The 16,308-nt window shown below is 34.8% G+C and overlaps 1 protein-coding gene across 8 annotated transcripts in view, besides 1 other annotated feature; it reads left to right on the top strand.

The window, feature by feature from the left end:
- FBXL17 (F-box and leucine rich repeat protein 17) overlaps positions 1-16,308 on the top strand; it is a 523,064-nt gene that overhangs the window by 108,568 nt on the left and 398,188 nt on the right. The gene's annotated exons all lie outside the window — the stretch shown is intronic.
- Positions 2,029-2,323: an enhancer, noted in NCBI's record as "tiled region #5089; K562 Activating DNase matched - State 8:EnhW". NCBI's record gives its function as "activates a minimal TATA promoter and a strong SV40 promoter by Sharpr-MPRA in K562 cells {active_cell/tissue: K562}" and the evidence as "EXISTENCE:reporter gene assay evidence [ECO:0000049][PMID:27701403]".

Here is a 16,308-nt window from a genome sequence, read left to right as displayed (position 1 = left end):
GCATAGTAACTGAATAGTTTCTCCCTCATTTATCCAAGAGTTATTCATAATAAATATTGCATTTTTTTTCTGCATTTGTTTTGTTCTTTAAACTTTTATGTATACTTTCCAGTAATAGGCCTCAGTGGCATTGAGGCCAGAGAGACTTTTTTGTTCATTTTCCTTTTATTATTATTATTATTTTTATTATTATTATACTTTAAGTTTTAGGGTACATGTGCACAATGTGCAGGTTAGTTACATATGTATACATGTGCCATGCTGGTGTGCTGCACCCATTAACTCGTCGTTTAGCATTAGGTATATCTCCTAATGCTATCCCGCCTCGGTCCTATGGTCCTGTGATCTCGCCCTGCCTCCACTTGCCTTGTGATATTCTTTTACCTTGTAAAGTACTTGATGTCTGTGACCCACACCTATTTGCGCACTCCCTCCCCTTTTGAAACTCCCTAATAAAAACTTGCCGGTTTTTGTGGCTTGTGGGCATCACGGAACCTACCGACATGTGATGTCTCCCCCGGATGCCCAGCTTTAAAATTTATCTCTTTTGTACTCTGTCCCTTTATTTCTCAAGCTGGCCGACACTTAGGGAAAATAGAAAAGAACCTACGTGAATATCGGGGCAGGTTCGCTGATAGTTATTAACTATGGTTATGTTTTTCATACCATACTCTGCATAGAGTATTTTTATATACATACACACATAAATAATTCATTTTGCTGTAGCTGTATTCATGATGTGACCTTTACAATTAGGACACTAGTCATATATATAATAGGTTTCTGATGACAATAATATTGATTTTATCCTAAGTTAAATGAGAAACCGTTTTATTGGGAAAATGCGGGATCATTTATTATAGAAATTGTAGCTAATGGCCGGGTGTGGTAGCTTATGCCTGTAATCCCAGCACTTTGGGAGACCGAGGTGGATTGATCACTTGAGGCCAGGAGTTTGAGATAAGCTTGGCCAACATGGTGAAACCTGTCTCTACTAAAAACATAAAATTTTAGCCAGGCATGGTAGCACATGCCTGTAGTCCCAGCTACTTGGGAGGCTGAGGCACAAGAATCACTTGAACCTGGAAGGTGGTGGCTACAGTGAGCCGAGATTGTGCCACTGCAATCCAGCCTGGGCAACAGAGTGAGACCCTGTCTCAAAAAAAAAAAAAAATTATAGCTAACGTTTGTTGGTTGCTTTTCTTTATTTTTTAATTTTTATTTATTTATTTATTTTTTTTGGAGATGGAGTCTTGCTGTCGCCCAGGTTGGAGTGCGGTGGCGCGATCTCGGGTCACTGCAAGCTCCGCCTCCTGGGTTCATGCCATTCTCCTGCCTCAGCCTCCTGAGTAGCTGGGACTACAAGTGCCCACCACAACACGCGGCTAATTTGTTTGTATTTTTAGTAGAGATGGGGTTTCACCGTGTTAGCCAGGATGGTCTCGATCTCATGACCTCGTGATCCTCCCATCTCGGCCTCCCAAAGTGCTGGGATTACAGGCGTGAGCCACTGCACCCGGCCGTTGGTTGCTTTTTATGTGCCACACATTGTACCAGTGTATTAGCTCATTTAGTCTTCATTACCACCCTATAAGGCCCATTTTAGGGCCTGTTGCCCTGGTAATAGCCTCATTTTATAGATGAAGAAACTGAAGCACAGAGAGGTTAATTTGCTGAAGGTCACATAAGGGAGCCAGAAATTCCTGTTTTGGAGATCTTTCAAGAATTCTTAACGCTTCCTCCCTAGTTCTATCACTAAATACTTGGAAGGATTTTTCCAACTAGATGAAAGCAATGAATGAACATTAAGATGTTACAAATAGATACATAGAGAAATCTTGCATTTATATCTTTCTGAGCATGTTGCTTCAGGTGTTGTTTTATAGTTTATTATCTGTTGGCAGGTATTTCCCAACTCATAAACATGTATTAATCCACCAGTATGTTCTCAAGAAGTTGACTGTATTGGTAGTTTTCTTCATGGTAGCTGCCCATCCTTGATAATGTGTGTTTGTAGGACCTTCCTACTGTTTTCTCCAGAGTTTGAGTCTGTATTGTAATGAATAAAGAGATTGCTTATGGTTTTGCCGGGTGTCAGGAATTCACCAGCTATCTTAACCTGGTTTGTTCTGTGTGTGTATATTCTGGTGCCTCCTCTAGCTTGTAGCATTCTTATCACAATCAAACAGATGTTGGGCTGAGAGTTGGGGGAGGATAAGAAGCTGCCACACATAAATATGATTTGGACATTTGTTGGATTAATAGAGAAGATAGGCCTTCTTTAATAGACTGGAAGAGGAAGGGAGCTCCAGTTTTCATGGTTTATTTCACTGGAGGAATTGAGACCATCATGTATTATGATTTCTACTGTGATTTGATTAGGTATAGGTACCTAATTTTCATTAATCATATTCTCTTCTGTTGCTATTTCTTTTTTTTTTTTGCATTGTCTTTATTTACTAAATCATTTGTCTTCATCATTTCCACTGCTCTATTGGATGTAATTATTGGGAAAGGAGGTGAATTGCATGCTTACACAGGGAGGTAGGGAATGTGGAGAAGGAGAGGGGGAAAGGGGGAGAGATGAATGTTTACCATGAATAAATGGACTTTTGGAGGAGAATTTCAGCAGTCTGTTAGTCTTTATGTGTATGTGGTTTTCCCCCCTCCTCATAATAGTAAAAAGGGTTCAGGAGAAATAATTTAAAACTGTCAACTCTTCAATTATTTCAACATAATAATTTAAAACTGTTAACATAACTGTCCCCCTTCTCATAATAGTAAAAAGGAGAAATAATTTAAAACTGTCAGCTGTTCAATTATTTCAACATAATAATTTAAAACTGTTAACATAACTGTTAACGTACTTGAAACAAACATCATACTGAGAAAGAAAATCTTAAATGTCACTTATCCTCAAAGTTTATGGCTAATGGATGCTCTGTTTCTTTGGTTTTACTAGACAAATTTCCTTGAGAACATGTTTTTTTTTTTTATTAACCTAAGAGTCACCTCCTTTTCATTACAATTGTTGCTAAATATGTGATTTATGTATTTATAAATAAATATATGATGTATAAATTATATTTAATTATAAATATAATTAAAATATGATTCATATAGTTATAAATAAATATGTGATTTAACTGCATCATAAATATATGATTTAGGTGCATTTCATTTAGATACATGTATGGAGGAAACAGCCTTTCTCAACCTATGAGTGGAATGGATTGTAGGGGAGATCGCCTTCACTTTTTTGTAGGGTATCCACAGACACTGAGAGTTTCTCAGTATTTAAGACTCCTTTTCCATTAAGAGTTTCTACGGTTTTCTTATAATCTAATTTTTTATATGGCAACATACCTGGCATGTGTACTTTTTACCTCTCCTGGGTGCTTTTAGATGCTGGAGATTGTTTACTTCTTTAGTATCTTTAATCTACATATTTGAAATCTTAGTTTCAAAATTGTTGAGAAGACCTTTTAGCTTTGATACTTGGTTTGGCTGCTTTTTGTTTTGTTTTGTTTTCTGGTTCTGCTGGGACCTACCTAATCTCCATTGAGGGGATATAGCCACATTCCTGTACCTTGATATTTGTAGCAACAGTAGTAGAGGGAAATGTATTTTAGGGCAGTACCTAGGTTTTATTCAGTGTTTCAAGTAGTAAAGTAACTTGATTAAAAAAGAGAAAACAAACCCTCGTCTAAAAGATTTCAGCAAATTTTCTTTATTATTGAATAGCTTTTTTGTGGTGGCACTGTCTTAGGTACTATGGATTCCAAGACAAATAATACATGGTTCTCTTCTTTGGAAGACCTTACAATCTGTCTAGGTGATATATTGTTGGAAGGAAGGTGGTGGAAGAGGGGCATAGAGGGTGAGGGAGGAGATCCAGTACCCATATTTTAATCTTCTTGCCTTCAGATTTCTCCAGGTCTAGAGAATGAAGATTGTTCTTTTGTGCACCAGTTTTATGATCATGTGGAAAAAATAAATAAAAATTGAGGAATTTACAGATTTTTTCATCTGTATCCAATATAACCAAATTTGATGGCATTAGTTATTGTGTATATTCTTCCCACTAAGTTCTTGAGGTTATACCTTTCTTGGGTTACCCTTAGAGATAATGGTGTCAGTACTGTTGCTGTGATCATGGATGTCATCTAAAACTAAAGATTGAACGCTTGCATAACAGTGTAAGGAAATAATTAAAGAACTTAAGAGCATGCCACCTCAAAATACGCCACTTTGAGTGGCATATTGATTATTTTGAGGTGAAGTCACTTGAAAAACAGTAGGTTCAAGAAGATCACTCTTACCTTCCTCCTACTCCTTAAAAGCACAAGATGGAATTCCTATGTGAAAGAGGTCCTCCCGATATGAAGGAAAGTAACATTCTTAGCAAGGATGGGAAATTGAAGCTGAGGGGAATTTGTACAAACAACCTTATGAAACCAACCTTTATCTTCCTGGTCACTTCTCTGCCTAAAATAACCACCCTAACTGAAGTCCCTTTGCTTTGTTATATTTTCATAATTTACTACTCTTTGTCTACCTCATTATATGAATATTCAACTCTAATTGAGTCTTTGGGTCTTCATTTCTTTATGAAGGCTCTTGTGGCACATAAAACTTGTATTAAATAGATGTGTAAGCTTTTCTCCTGTGGATCTCACTTCAATTTAATTCTCAGGACCAGCTTAAAAACTCTAAGATGGTAGTGGTACAATTCTACCTCCCCTGAAGAATACATTCCAAGGTAATTCATATAGTCCATTTTAAAGTCCCTTAATTAAAAACCTATAAAAAGAGGATATGTAGTAACTGATATCAACCTCTTTTGAGTAGTATGTAAATATCTTTAAAGAAAATGCGTTTCTTTCCTTGCCATTTTTTTTTCAGTTTGAATTCTACCTTTTTAGTTTGATACTTAAAAATACATTCAACATAGTTCTGATTGAACAGTTTATCAGGGAAGGAGTGAGGAATCAGGTGTTCTGCAATGACTGAAGTATTGTGCCAAGTGACTGATGCATCTCAGAAGAAAAACATGAGAATTTATATAACCTAAAGTTCTGGTCCTTTTCTGATAACGTTGAACCAGAGCCGTTTCATAGTTACAGATTTGCCTTTAAATCTTATACTTTGAGATAAAATGCTTCGAAAGTAAAAAGAGGAGTGTTAGGTGAAGTTAAGTATAAAAGCCACAGCACATATGCATGCATTTGTGCCTGCAGACACACACACACCCACATCCCTACCTACCTCTTGTTGCCTCTTAGGAATAAAATGAAAATAGAAGTGTCACTTACTTATGATTTATTCATGAGTTGAATATCCACTTTATGGATCATGTAGCTCTTTAATTTCCCTTTATTCTTCCCCTCTCCCCAGTTTCTCCCCATCAGCTGCCTAATGTTTTCTAATTTTTTCTTTCTTATTACTATACTAGAGGATGGGACATGTCCAGGACACACACTTTAAATTATCCAACTTTGTACTTTGTTAGCAATCAACAAAAAACTAAAATTACTTGGAAATTACCTTTTGCATTTTACATCATCCCTGTTTATCATTATAAATAAACAGAGCTTATTAATAATAAAATTTAGAAAATACATTTAAAACAAAATAGGCGTGAACATTGGTTTTTCATAATGTCTTAGAGACAGATCTCAGCTCAAATGTCACTTCCCCAAGGAGGCCTTCTTTAATCTGTCCCTACCAAATACAGCAGTTCTAGTCATTTTTAACCCTCGTATCTGACTTTATCTGACTTCATAGCACTTATTTTATTTATTCATCTGCTTGTTCAGCCACCTGTATATTGTCTTTCTTCTGGTTTAGATTGTAAGTGCTGTGGTGAGTACTTTGGTATTCTTTACTTCAGCATAGTGCCTGCCCCAGAATAGGCACAAAATATTTGTTTAATAAACCATAGATGAGGGAAGTAATTTGCTTTGTTTTTATAGAAATGGGAAATTAATACTTAATGATGATAACTTTACCAATGTTACACTACTTATGACTAGTAGGAGTAAGATTAAGTAGCACCCTGCATCTTATACTGAATATTTTGAACATTGATGATTTACATAATTAAGAATTTCAGACCACCTAAATTTGTTAATGTCTTATATAAACTAGAAGTTGAGTATTTTGTGGTTATGTGAAATTTCTTATTGTAGTTCTTGGATTTCTAGTTCAGTAGTAAAAATTTGGTGAGTTTTCTAAATTTAGATTATATAACAATTTCAAATATACAAAGATTTGATAATAGCATTAGTTTTTCTTAATTTGATTTTTCGTTATTATTTAGGGAAACTGGTTCTTTATTGCCAACTAGATTTTTTAATGATGTCCTAAATAATTTTTAGTGATATCCATTATTGGAAAATCCTGAATATATTATGCTAATCCCTTCAAAATTTGACAATATCTGAATGTTAAATACCTTTAATAGTAAAAAGCATGTTTTTTGAATAATTTTTTTGTAAAATTAAATGCAACTTATGCTATAGAATAAATATAAAATTATGCCATAGAATAAATCTAAAATCTAAATCTAACTAATTAAAAATTATTTTTCATTCTAATAGTTCCCCTTATCCATGAGGGATCCCAGTAGATGTCTGAAACCACAGATAGTGCTAAACCCAACTGCCCTCAATCAGAACACATTTCTGTTGTCTTCCATCTACAAATACAATGCCTTTTCCATCTTATCTAAGCACTTTATTATGCACTGTAGCCACAAATTTTGCTGTTTTGAGGTGTGATGGCAAAACTAGCATAAATTTCTTTTTCCTTCTTCACAATTACACAGATAGAAGATTCGTTCTTACCATTGATTTTAGCAACCTCAGTATACCATTTTTTTCTTAAGTCCAAAACTGCTACCTTTTTACTTAAAGGAAGCACGTTATGGCTTATTTGTGGCATATGTGAATTACCAGCATCAGTACTCTTGCACATTGGGGATGTTATTAACTGAAGAAAGAGTTACTTCAACATAAGCACTGCAATACCCTGACAGTTGATTTGATAACTGAGCCAGCCACTGAGTGACTAAGGGTGTGTAGTGTCGACATTTGTGGATATGCTGGACAAAGGAATGATTTATGACCTGGGTGGAATAGAGCAGGATGGCACAAGATTTAATCATGATACTTGGTATTCAGAGTGATATGAAAGTGAAAAATTTATGTATTTTTTATTTCTGGAAATTTCTGTTTAATATTTTTCAACTGTGGTTGATCACAAGTAACTGAAACTGTGGAATGTGAAACTATGGATAAGGGAGACTACTGTATTCAAACTTTAAAGTTAGAATTATAGTTTCTGCTAATAATTACTCCTTACTTACAGTTGCATTATGAGATTTCCAGCAAATTCTGGCTATTTTTAAAACTTGAAAAAAAAATCGTATATTTTTAGTATGTGCCCCAGCTCCACCACACTTACTCGTATATTATAGACATTTTAAAGTTCAGAAATATGGAAGATTTGGAATTAGTTCCCCTCAGTAAGAAAAAACTGAAGGGCAACTAAGTATTTCTGTATATGAAGAACCATATTGCATTTCTGTAAAAGTTAAACTTAATTGTAGTGTCGAACCTTACTATTCAAAGTGTGATCTGAGGATGGGCAGTATACCGGCATTACTTAAAAGTTTGTTAGAAATGCAGGAACTCAGGTTCTACCCCAGACCCACCAACTGAAATAGGATCTGCATTTTAACAAGCTATAGTTTGCTTGCACATTAATATTTGAGATGCTCTGGTTTAGAATAAATTTCTCAAACAAAAAAGAAAACAGATCCTGATGTGAAGATGATTAAATATTGTTTTCCAGAGATTTTTAAGATATTTAATAATAGTGCAAATTCCATAAGTCTTGGTGAAAGTAAGGATGTTACTGTGTATGTGAGCCCTAAGAACAATGGTTGGTTTCATTATCTCTTAATGAATGATATAGAGATTAACAAAATACAGTTGAACATTGGAAATCACAGATAGGATGTTTTTAGTGTATGTTGATTTTATTATATCATTATGGAGTGATACTGGGTTTAATATAGTCTAGATCTAATATTATGGGAATTGTTGAGAACAGTAAGTAGTATTTGCAATGGTGGCTTTTGGTTTCTTGTCATTTGAAAATGTATATGATTAATTGGGTCAGTTGTCTAGATTTAAGAATTGTATTAATATCTTTAAATGTCAAATTGAATTTTTTTTTCCTGAAGATTAGTGCAGAAGATCAGTGCAGATAGTTCTATCCGATTAGGTAGAATGACTGATAAAGTATTTCAGAAAATGAAGTAACAGCTGCCTCAGGTTAGTCATATAATCAAAGCAACTAAAAGGACAATGAAATAATCAGTGTCTATGAAAACAAGAGAAAACTTTTAAATGTAGATAAATCATTGATTAAAGCAAAACTTATAAATTATTCTGTTGCTTCTTTTAAAGATTTTTGTATTCTTGACAATATTAATTCATATAATCTTTTAATATAGAGGATGGATCACAGATAAAAGAAATAGGGCTTTTGACCTATGACAATGCCAATAAAAATTTAAAAACTATCAACTGTCACTATAATGATATAATTTAAAAAACATGATTTTTTTCATGTTTACTGATACTAGATAGCATTAGGAAATATAAACTAAGGAAGTCGAAAGTAATTGACCGGTTTATTCTTTCACTGAAATTAGAAGAGTTATAATTGGCACTTTCATACTAAGATTTATTCAACTGAAGTTATTGTCATGGGCCAATAAAGCTGGCAAGGCTTAAGAGAGCTGATCTCATCTTTGCACTCTGATCTTTTTCAACAACTGGAGATGTATTTAGAAAGGTTTCTAGATGAAAATTCTGAATACTTCCTAATTCATTTATTTCAAGGTCAGAAAATTTTAATTTATTTTTAATTGAAATCTATTTTCATTTTAAGCCTACTTATACCTGTACATTTAAAAAATTGAAATAGTATAAAAGAGCTAGTATAGAGACAGGAACCATCCTGTTATCCTACTTTATATAATGATTTATAAAGTTGACTATTTTTACCTACTCTCTCTTTTTTGGCCAGTTTAAATAATTTAGTTCCTTTGTTGGTTCTCTTTATCTTTTGACCACTTGGGACAGAGCACCTAACTCTTTCAGTGTTTTGGGTGCTCTTAACTTATAGATGCTACACTGGTACAACAGTACCTGTTGTCTTTCTGAATCAGTTAGGACCAAATGATTTCATTCAAAAGAGACGTTTAAAGTAGAGATTTTTTTTTTTTTTTTTTTTTTTTTTTGAGAAAGAGTCTCACTCTGTCGCCCAGGCTGGAGTGCTGTGGCGTGATCTAAGCTCACTGCCACCTCCACCTCCTGGGTTCCAGCAGTTCTCCTCCCCCAGCTTCCTGAGTAGCTAGGACTACAGTTGTGTGTCATGATGCCCAGATAATTTTTGTATTTTTAGTAGAGATGGGGTTTCACCAGCATTGGCCAGGTTGGTCTCGAACTCCTGACCTCGTGATCTACCCGCCTCGGCCTCCCAAAGTGCTGGGATTACAGGCGTGAGCCACTGCACCCGGCATAAAGTAGAGATTCTTTAAAAGAAGCAAATACTTCACATTAAGAATGAAATTTGCTGATCATATTGGGTAGTTTGTTCTAATAAGGATAATTTTCTCTTTCTCCCATATCATGGGTTTTTGGAGTGAAGTTTCCTGGACACTTTGAAATGCAGCAATTCTATGGGAACTTTTTCAGGATAATGTGAAAATACATAGATGTGTTTTTTATGTATTAAATAATATTGACTAATTATAATTTTGAAATAATGAACATTAATGCTTTTTTAAGATGTCTGCAACAAATATAATGTGATGTGGAAACACCTTTGATTTTTATTGCTGACAACTGTGGTTTCTTGACTGTATTTATAATAGAAATGCTGAATAGAGATTAGTGAAAGTAAAAATGTAATAAAGTTTAGGGAAAGTAAATAGAAGTATTTCATTGAATGTAAACATGTAATTATTTTTCCATCCAAATTTATGGACCCATTAGGGTTTATAGACTCCAGGATAAGAACTCTTTTATTTGGCAACTTCACTGAATTCCCTTGTACTGCAGTTTTAAACATTTTATTGTTTTTTTCCTAGGTGGATATTTATATCATCTAAAAATAATGATAGTTTTTTTCTTTCTATCCAGTCGTTACAAATTTTATTTTATTTTCAATTTAATTTTGTCCAAGACCTCTACAACTGTGTTTGAGTCGTGTTGATAGTAGTCTCTTTTGTTCCTGATTTTAAAGGAGATGCAGACCCTCCATTAAGTGTAGTGTTCATGCAGGTATTCTTTGCTAAGATTACTTGGGGCCTGAAATCAGATGGGGAGTTGGTGTAGCAAGATTCTCAATTAATTGGTTATATATGGTTCACGAGTTTTGGGTAGTGAGTAATGAGAACTGAGATGGTGAGGAAAATTAAAAACTGAAAATTTATTTGAATTAATTTTGTCACTGAGTTCCACTAGCAGGTTTTCAGCTAAGTTCAGATTGAACAGTATCCTTGTATAACCTTTACCAACTTAAGGAAGTTCCCTTCACTGTATAATTTAACACTTTTAAAAATTATAAATAGGTAGTAATGGTTATCACATGCTTTCCCTCTATTAATTGAGCTAGTCATAGATACTGCTGAACTAAGTTTACATTCCAGAACACTTCATGACAATTGTATTTTAATAAAGTATTGGATTTATTTAGCTCTTTTTTTTGATGGTGGTTTTTGTTGTTGTTGCTTGTTTTTTCCCATCTAATTCCTAAGTGAAGTGGGCCCATATTTTCTTCTCGTATATTGTCTCATTTTGGAATCAAGATTCCAGTAGCCTCCTATAATGAGCTGTATAGTTTTACACTCTTCCTATTTGCTATAACAGCTTGCATTAGGAAGTCATTAATGTTTCTTAAATCCCACTTGTAAAAAATCACGTAGACCATTGGCTTTTTGAGAGGGATGCTTTGAGTACCTTCCAAATTATTTCATAATTTTTGGCATATTCAAGGTCTCTATTTCTTTTGACAATTTTGATGTATATATTTTCTGGGACTTTCTTCCATTTTATGTAGATTTCCAAATTATTAGCCTATACTTACAACACTTTAAAAATATATATTTATCTTTGGGAGGCCAAGGTGGGTGGATCATGAGGTCAGGAGATCGAGACCATCCTGGCTAACATGGTGAAACCCCGCCTCTACTAAAAATACAAAAAAATTAGCTGGGCGTGGTGGTGGGCACCTGTAGTCCTAGCTATTTGGGAGGCCGAGGCAGGAGAATGGCGTGAACCCGGGAGGCGGAGCTTGCAGTGAGCCAAGACCGTGCCACTGCACTCCAGCCTGGGCGACAGAGCGAGACTCTGTCTCAAAAAAAATAAATAAATAAATAAATAAATAAATAAATAAAATATGTATCACTTTGTATTCTCCCTTTTCATTCTGTATTTTGCTGCTTTGTCCCATCCCCCCCATCTCCCCATCTCATCCCTAAGTTTGGTGAATCTTGAGAAAGGTTTATAAATATTTATTAATATGTTTGGTCTTCAGGAAAGTAACGTTTTAAAAATCTTCCCTATTACATTTTTGTTTGGAATTTTGTTGATTTATTCACTTTATTATTTCTGTGCTGCTTGTTCTTCTTAATATTGTTTAGCATTTTAGTTCTCAGTTGTGGGTGCTCTTTGTTTTTTTCTTTTTTTTAAGCTTGTGTTTAGTTTATGTTAGTTTTTAAGACAATAACAGGTAAAATGTTGGGTAACCCTTCTATCCTGTATATTTGCATCATCTTCCTGATTTTGTTTTTTATTTGAATACTTTCTCTAGAATGTGTTTAGTTTGGGTCTTTATGGGCAAACCTTCTGTGGCCTTGTATGCCTAAAGCATTTCTATTGTGTACTCATCTTTGTGTGACAGTGTGGCTTGATGTAAAATTCTAGAGTCAAAATTGTTTTCTTCAATACTTAAAAAATATATTATATTCTTTTACTCATTTTCCAAAGTTTATCTTCTTTCTTTCTGGAAGATTTAGAAATTTTATCTTTTTGTTCTAAAATTTAACCATACCCATAATATGCCATGGTATGGGTTTATTTGTCCTATTAATTTTTCCATTCTGAGATCTTTGATCTTTCTTTTTTAGTTCTGTAACATTTATTTTAATTATCCTTTCAAGCTTTTTTTGGTCTGTCAACCTCCCTCTTCTCACCATTTTTTTCTGAGCCTCCTGTTATCTGGATGTTCACATAACTGCTTCTGTTCCTTGCCTTTTCTTTCATGTTGTTTTATATTATTATTTTCTATTGTCTTTTAGGAAGGACCACAGTTTGATTTTCTAAATCAACAATTTATCCTATAACTGTATTTATCCTACTGTTTATCTCTATTGTATTTTAATATTTTTTTTTACTAATACTTAACATTATTTTTAATGATTTCTTATTCATACTTCACATTGCTATCTTTCCTTAGTGCCTTAGCTATATCATGTTTATTTTGAATTATTGGCATGTATTTCAATAATTCTGCTTCAGCACATACAACCTCTACACAAGACAATCAGGGGATCGCAGATTTTTCAGTTATGTAAAATGCGAGACTGTGTGATACCGATATTGGTGAAATGACTATAGCAAACTTGTGCAAAAGTCCTGGGAGTTGGGCACAGAGCGGAATCTTTCTTGGTCCTGGCTGTAGTTTGGTGCCATCTAGTGGCCATTGCCTCCTCTGCTCCTCTGGCTTAAAGTTCCACAGGCACAATACAGTTTCCTTTTGTGAGCTCCAAGACAGTGGCAGCAATTCCAAGAATCTCTTGATTAGTTGTCTCTCATTTTGTGGGCCTGATTGGAATGATCGGTCTGGGAGAAATGTAGGGGTATAGGAACCCGTTCTCTTCTTCCCTCCTTGTAATACGATGTTGCCTGGCATGGTTTTGCCGTTTCCTCCCTTTCCTATGCCTACTGAAAGGGGAAGCCCATTATGTTACATGTTTAGATAGTTGTATTTCTTTAATAGGTAGATGTTTTTATTAGTTGATTTTTAGATCAATTCTTATTTCCTGGATATAGCTACCCTGTGTGGTAATGTGAATTGGGAAGGGCGGATGACCAGCCTCTGGTCATTGTTATTTGGCAGAGAACTATAGGAACCACCCAATCTCCCAATCACTCTGATCACCCCTTGCCTCTTCACTACCTATGGTTTTCACCTTCACTTCACAAGAGTCCTTAAGCTGCCCCATATTACTAATTGTTAATGCTGACATTAACAACTAGTCCTCTCCTGTCCAATGCCCATGCCGTGGTGAAGATGTATGCTTTACCTATCTTTATAAGAGAGGCAAGAGTAGCATGGAAAAGTTTTCCAACAACCGGTTTCCTCCCAAATTAGGCTGCAGCATCCTGACTTCAACGTACATAGGTTTTTTTTTTGTTTTTTTTTTTTAAGTTTCTTATAACTATTTCTCTCACTAAGCTAGTTTCTCCAGTATTGATTTTTGTAGAGGAAGCCAGTAGTGGACAGAGTTTACCATCCTGATAGGAACAATAAAATATATTACCTTATAGATAACTGCACATTTCAACTTAGCCTAGGTTTTAAAAACCGTTAGTGCCAAGTAGGTAAATTTAAAAATAATAATCTATTGCTTGCTTTCACGTATTTAAATTTTTATTTTGACAGCTATTGAAAAAAATTCCTTTTAGATACCCTCTCTATCCTTATGTGATTCTTTTGCCTTGGGACTTCCTTTTGCTTTTCGTTTTGCTTTATGTGTCTTACATCTCATATTGTCACATCTTTGACACTGAGAAAATGTCTTGGACTTCTTTAGAAGTTCTCGAATTTTTTTCAAGCAACATTTTTACAAAGCCCTTTCACAAAGCCCCATTAGTCATATTCATTTCTAACTGAGGCTGTGTGGGTGAAACTAAAAGGCTAAGAGAGGTTAAGTGTGTTAGACCTGATAGTACAGCCAGCAGCTGGCAGGTCAGGAATGTAAACAACTTTACTTCCAGGGCTCTCTGTCTGCCTCACTACAGCTACATTGAGGATACATTATGTTTTTAAAACATTGGAATCCTCTGAATGCTTTGAAATCAATTCTCAATTTCAGTTTTCATAATAAAATGAGCTTCATAGTTTTAGCTTTTTAGAACTTTTAAGTCAAAGATTTCCACAAAACCATCATATCCCATATCGATAGACATTTTTTATGGATTGTGGTATATATATTTTTAACCAACATAGTTTCTTTGTACCTGATTTCCTCTTATATCAGATCTCTTCAATTCCTGATTCTCATAGCTTGAAAAACAGTATTGTTTGTGCTGTCTTTTCTTCAATTCTAATTGTGCTTTGAAAATAGCTGATAGTCGCCGAAGACTTATTGTTCAAGGGAGAAAAAACCTGCCACTTTTAACGCACAGACACTTGTTATTTAAATGGAAATTGTATAATTGCTTTCACTATGATCTATAGACTGCCTTGGAAATATGAGGGCCCTGGATAAAGCATATTACAGCTTTTATTATGTCTAGCTTTATCTATTATGTTTATTATGTTTAGTTTTTCTATTGGTTTCTCAGATCTAATTTGGAATTTCTTTTAAATTCTCTGTGTGTTATCACTTCAGCAATATATCCTGGGTATACTCTTCTGTTGACTAGCTTTCCACCAGCTAGATTGTAAGATCCTAGAGTGTTTTAGCAAAAAAAAAAAAAAAAAAAATGTTAAAGGCCATTTATCCTGACTTCCTTAATTAAACTGAGGAAATGGAAAGGTTAAATGACTTGGCCAGTGGGCATCTACCTAATAAGAGACTGAGCCTCCTTAGAGCCCAGGTTTTTTGACCCAACTCTGGTCTTCATATGCAACTTAATCTCCTTAATGAATAACAAACAGAAATTTTGTATTTTTTTCTTTGAACCTATTCTACTTCTAGGAATCTCACATTATTTTTCTTTTCAACAACTGAGTGCTTCTTTCGTACCTGTTTTTTTACCCCAACATATGAAAGGGTAGAAAGAAGAAGAAAACTAACTTTGTTCCTTTTAAGTTCATGTTTCATATTCGTCTGCTAAGGCTGCCATAATGAAATACCATAGACTGGGTGGCCTAAACAACAGAAATTTATTTTCTCAGAACTCTGGAGGATAAAAAGTCCAAGATCAAGGTCTGGCAGGGTTTGATTTCTGGTGAGGGCACTCTTCTGGCTTTCAGATGACTGCTTTCTTGCTATGTCATCACATAGCAGAGAGAGCTTCTAAAGCCACGGCCCTGTTGAATCATGGCCCCACCATTATGACCTTACTTAATCTTAATTACATTCCAAAGACCCTATCTCCAGATACAGTCTGGAGTTAGGGAGTTAGGGCTTTAATGTAAGAATTTTGGAGCGGCACAATTCAGTTTATAGTATGCTCTATGTATCATAACCTTGTGATGTAATTTGCATCCCCACAGTTGCTGGCACGCCTGCCTCAGCATCCTTAATGTGATCAGTCTTTGAGATCAAGGTATGACTGGTCTGGGGAGATGCAGGTTGATGCAAACATAATTTTTCTGCTACCTTTAACAAAGCATACACAACGTCATAGGATTACTCTTAGTTCCTCGGTCCAGGTACCAACAGGTCTTTCTTTCAAAAAAATTATAATACAATATGTATGTGAACAATTTAAGATCATTTTGCCCATTTAAATCCTTATGGAAGACATTATCAGGTCGTGACTGAGTCCACCTGGGCACATATTTTGGCATGAGAATTCCTGGTTTCTTGGTTCTGCCACTTTAGTATCTGTGAACCTGGAAAGGATTTAGTCACTGCCTCTGTTTCTCATCTGTAAAGTGGACAAGATTACATCACAGCTGCTGACAATGAGGATTACATGAGATAGCACCTGATAAATAGAAATTATTCAGTTAATAATAATGATAATTATTATCTTCCTTTGCTACTCTTCCTGAACTTTGGAGCTCAAATGACTCTCGCTCATTTGTTCTCAGTATTTACCCTAAAGATCCTCCCTTTGTCATTTACGGCCTTGGTAAGATTTAATCAATTCTGTGTTTCATCATGGTGGATGTATGCTTATGGAATATTTTATCCAAGTCCTTTGTTATCATTAAATTATTCAATGAGTAATCAGAAATCAACTTATGATATTCCCAGTAATCCCTGTTTTATAGATAAGGAAACTGAGGGTCAAAGAAATTAATAACTGTTCAGCTAGGGTGAAGCCA

Source organism: Homo sapiens, chromosome 5 (genome assembly GCF_000001405.40).
Source record: "Homo sapiens chromosome 5, GRCh38.p14 Primary Assembly".
In the NCBI taxonomy this organism is placed as follows: domain Eukaryota; kingdom Metazoa; phylum Chordata; class Mammalia; order Primates; family Hominidae; genus Homo; species Homo sapiens.
The sequence above is the reverse complement of the archived record's forward strand: the minus strand, read 5'-3'. Positions and strand labels throughout refer to the sequence as shown.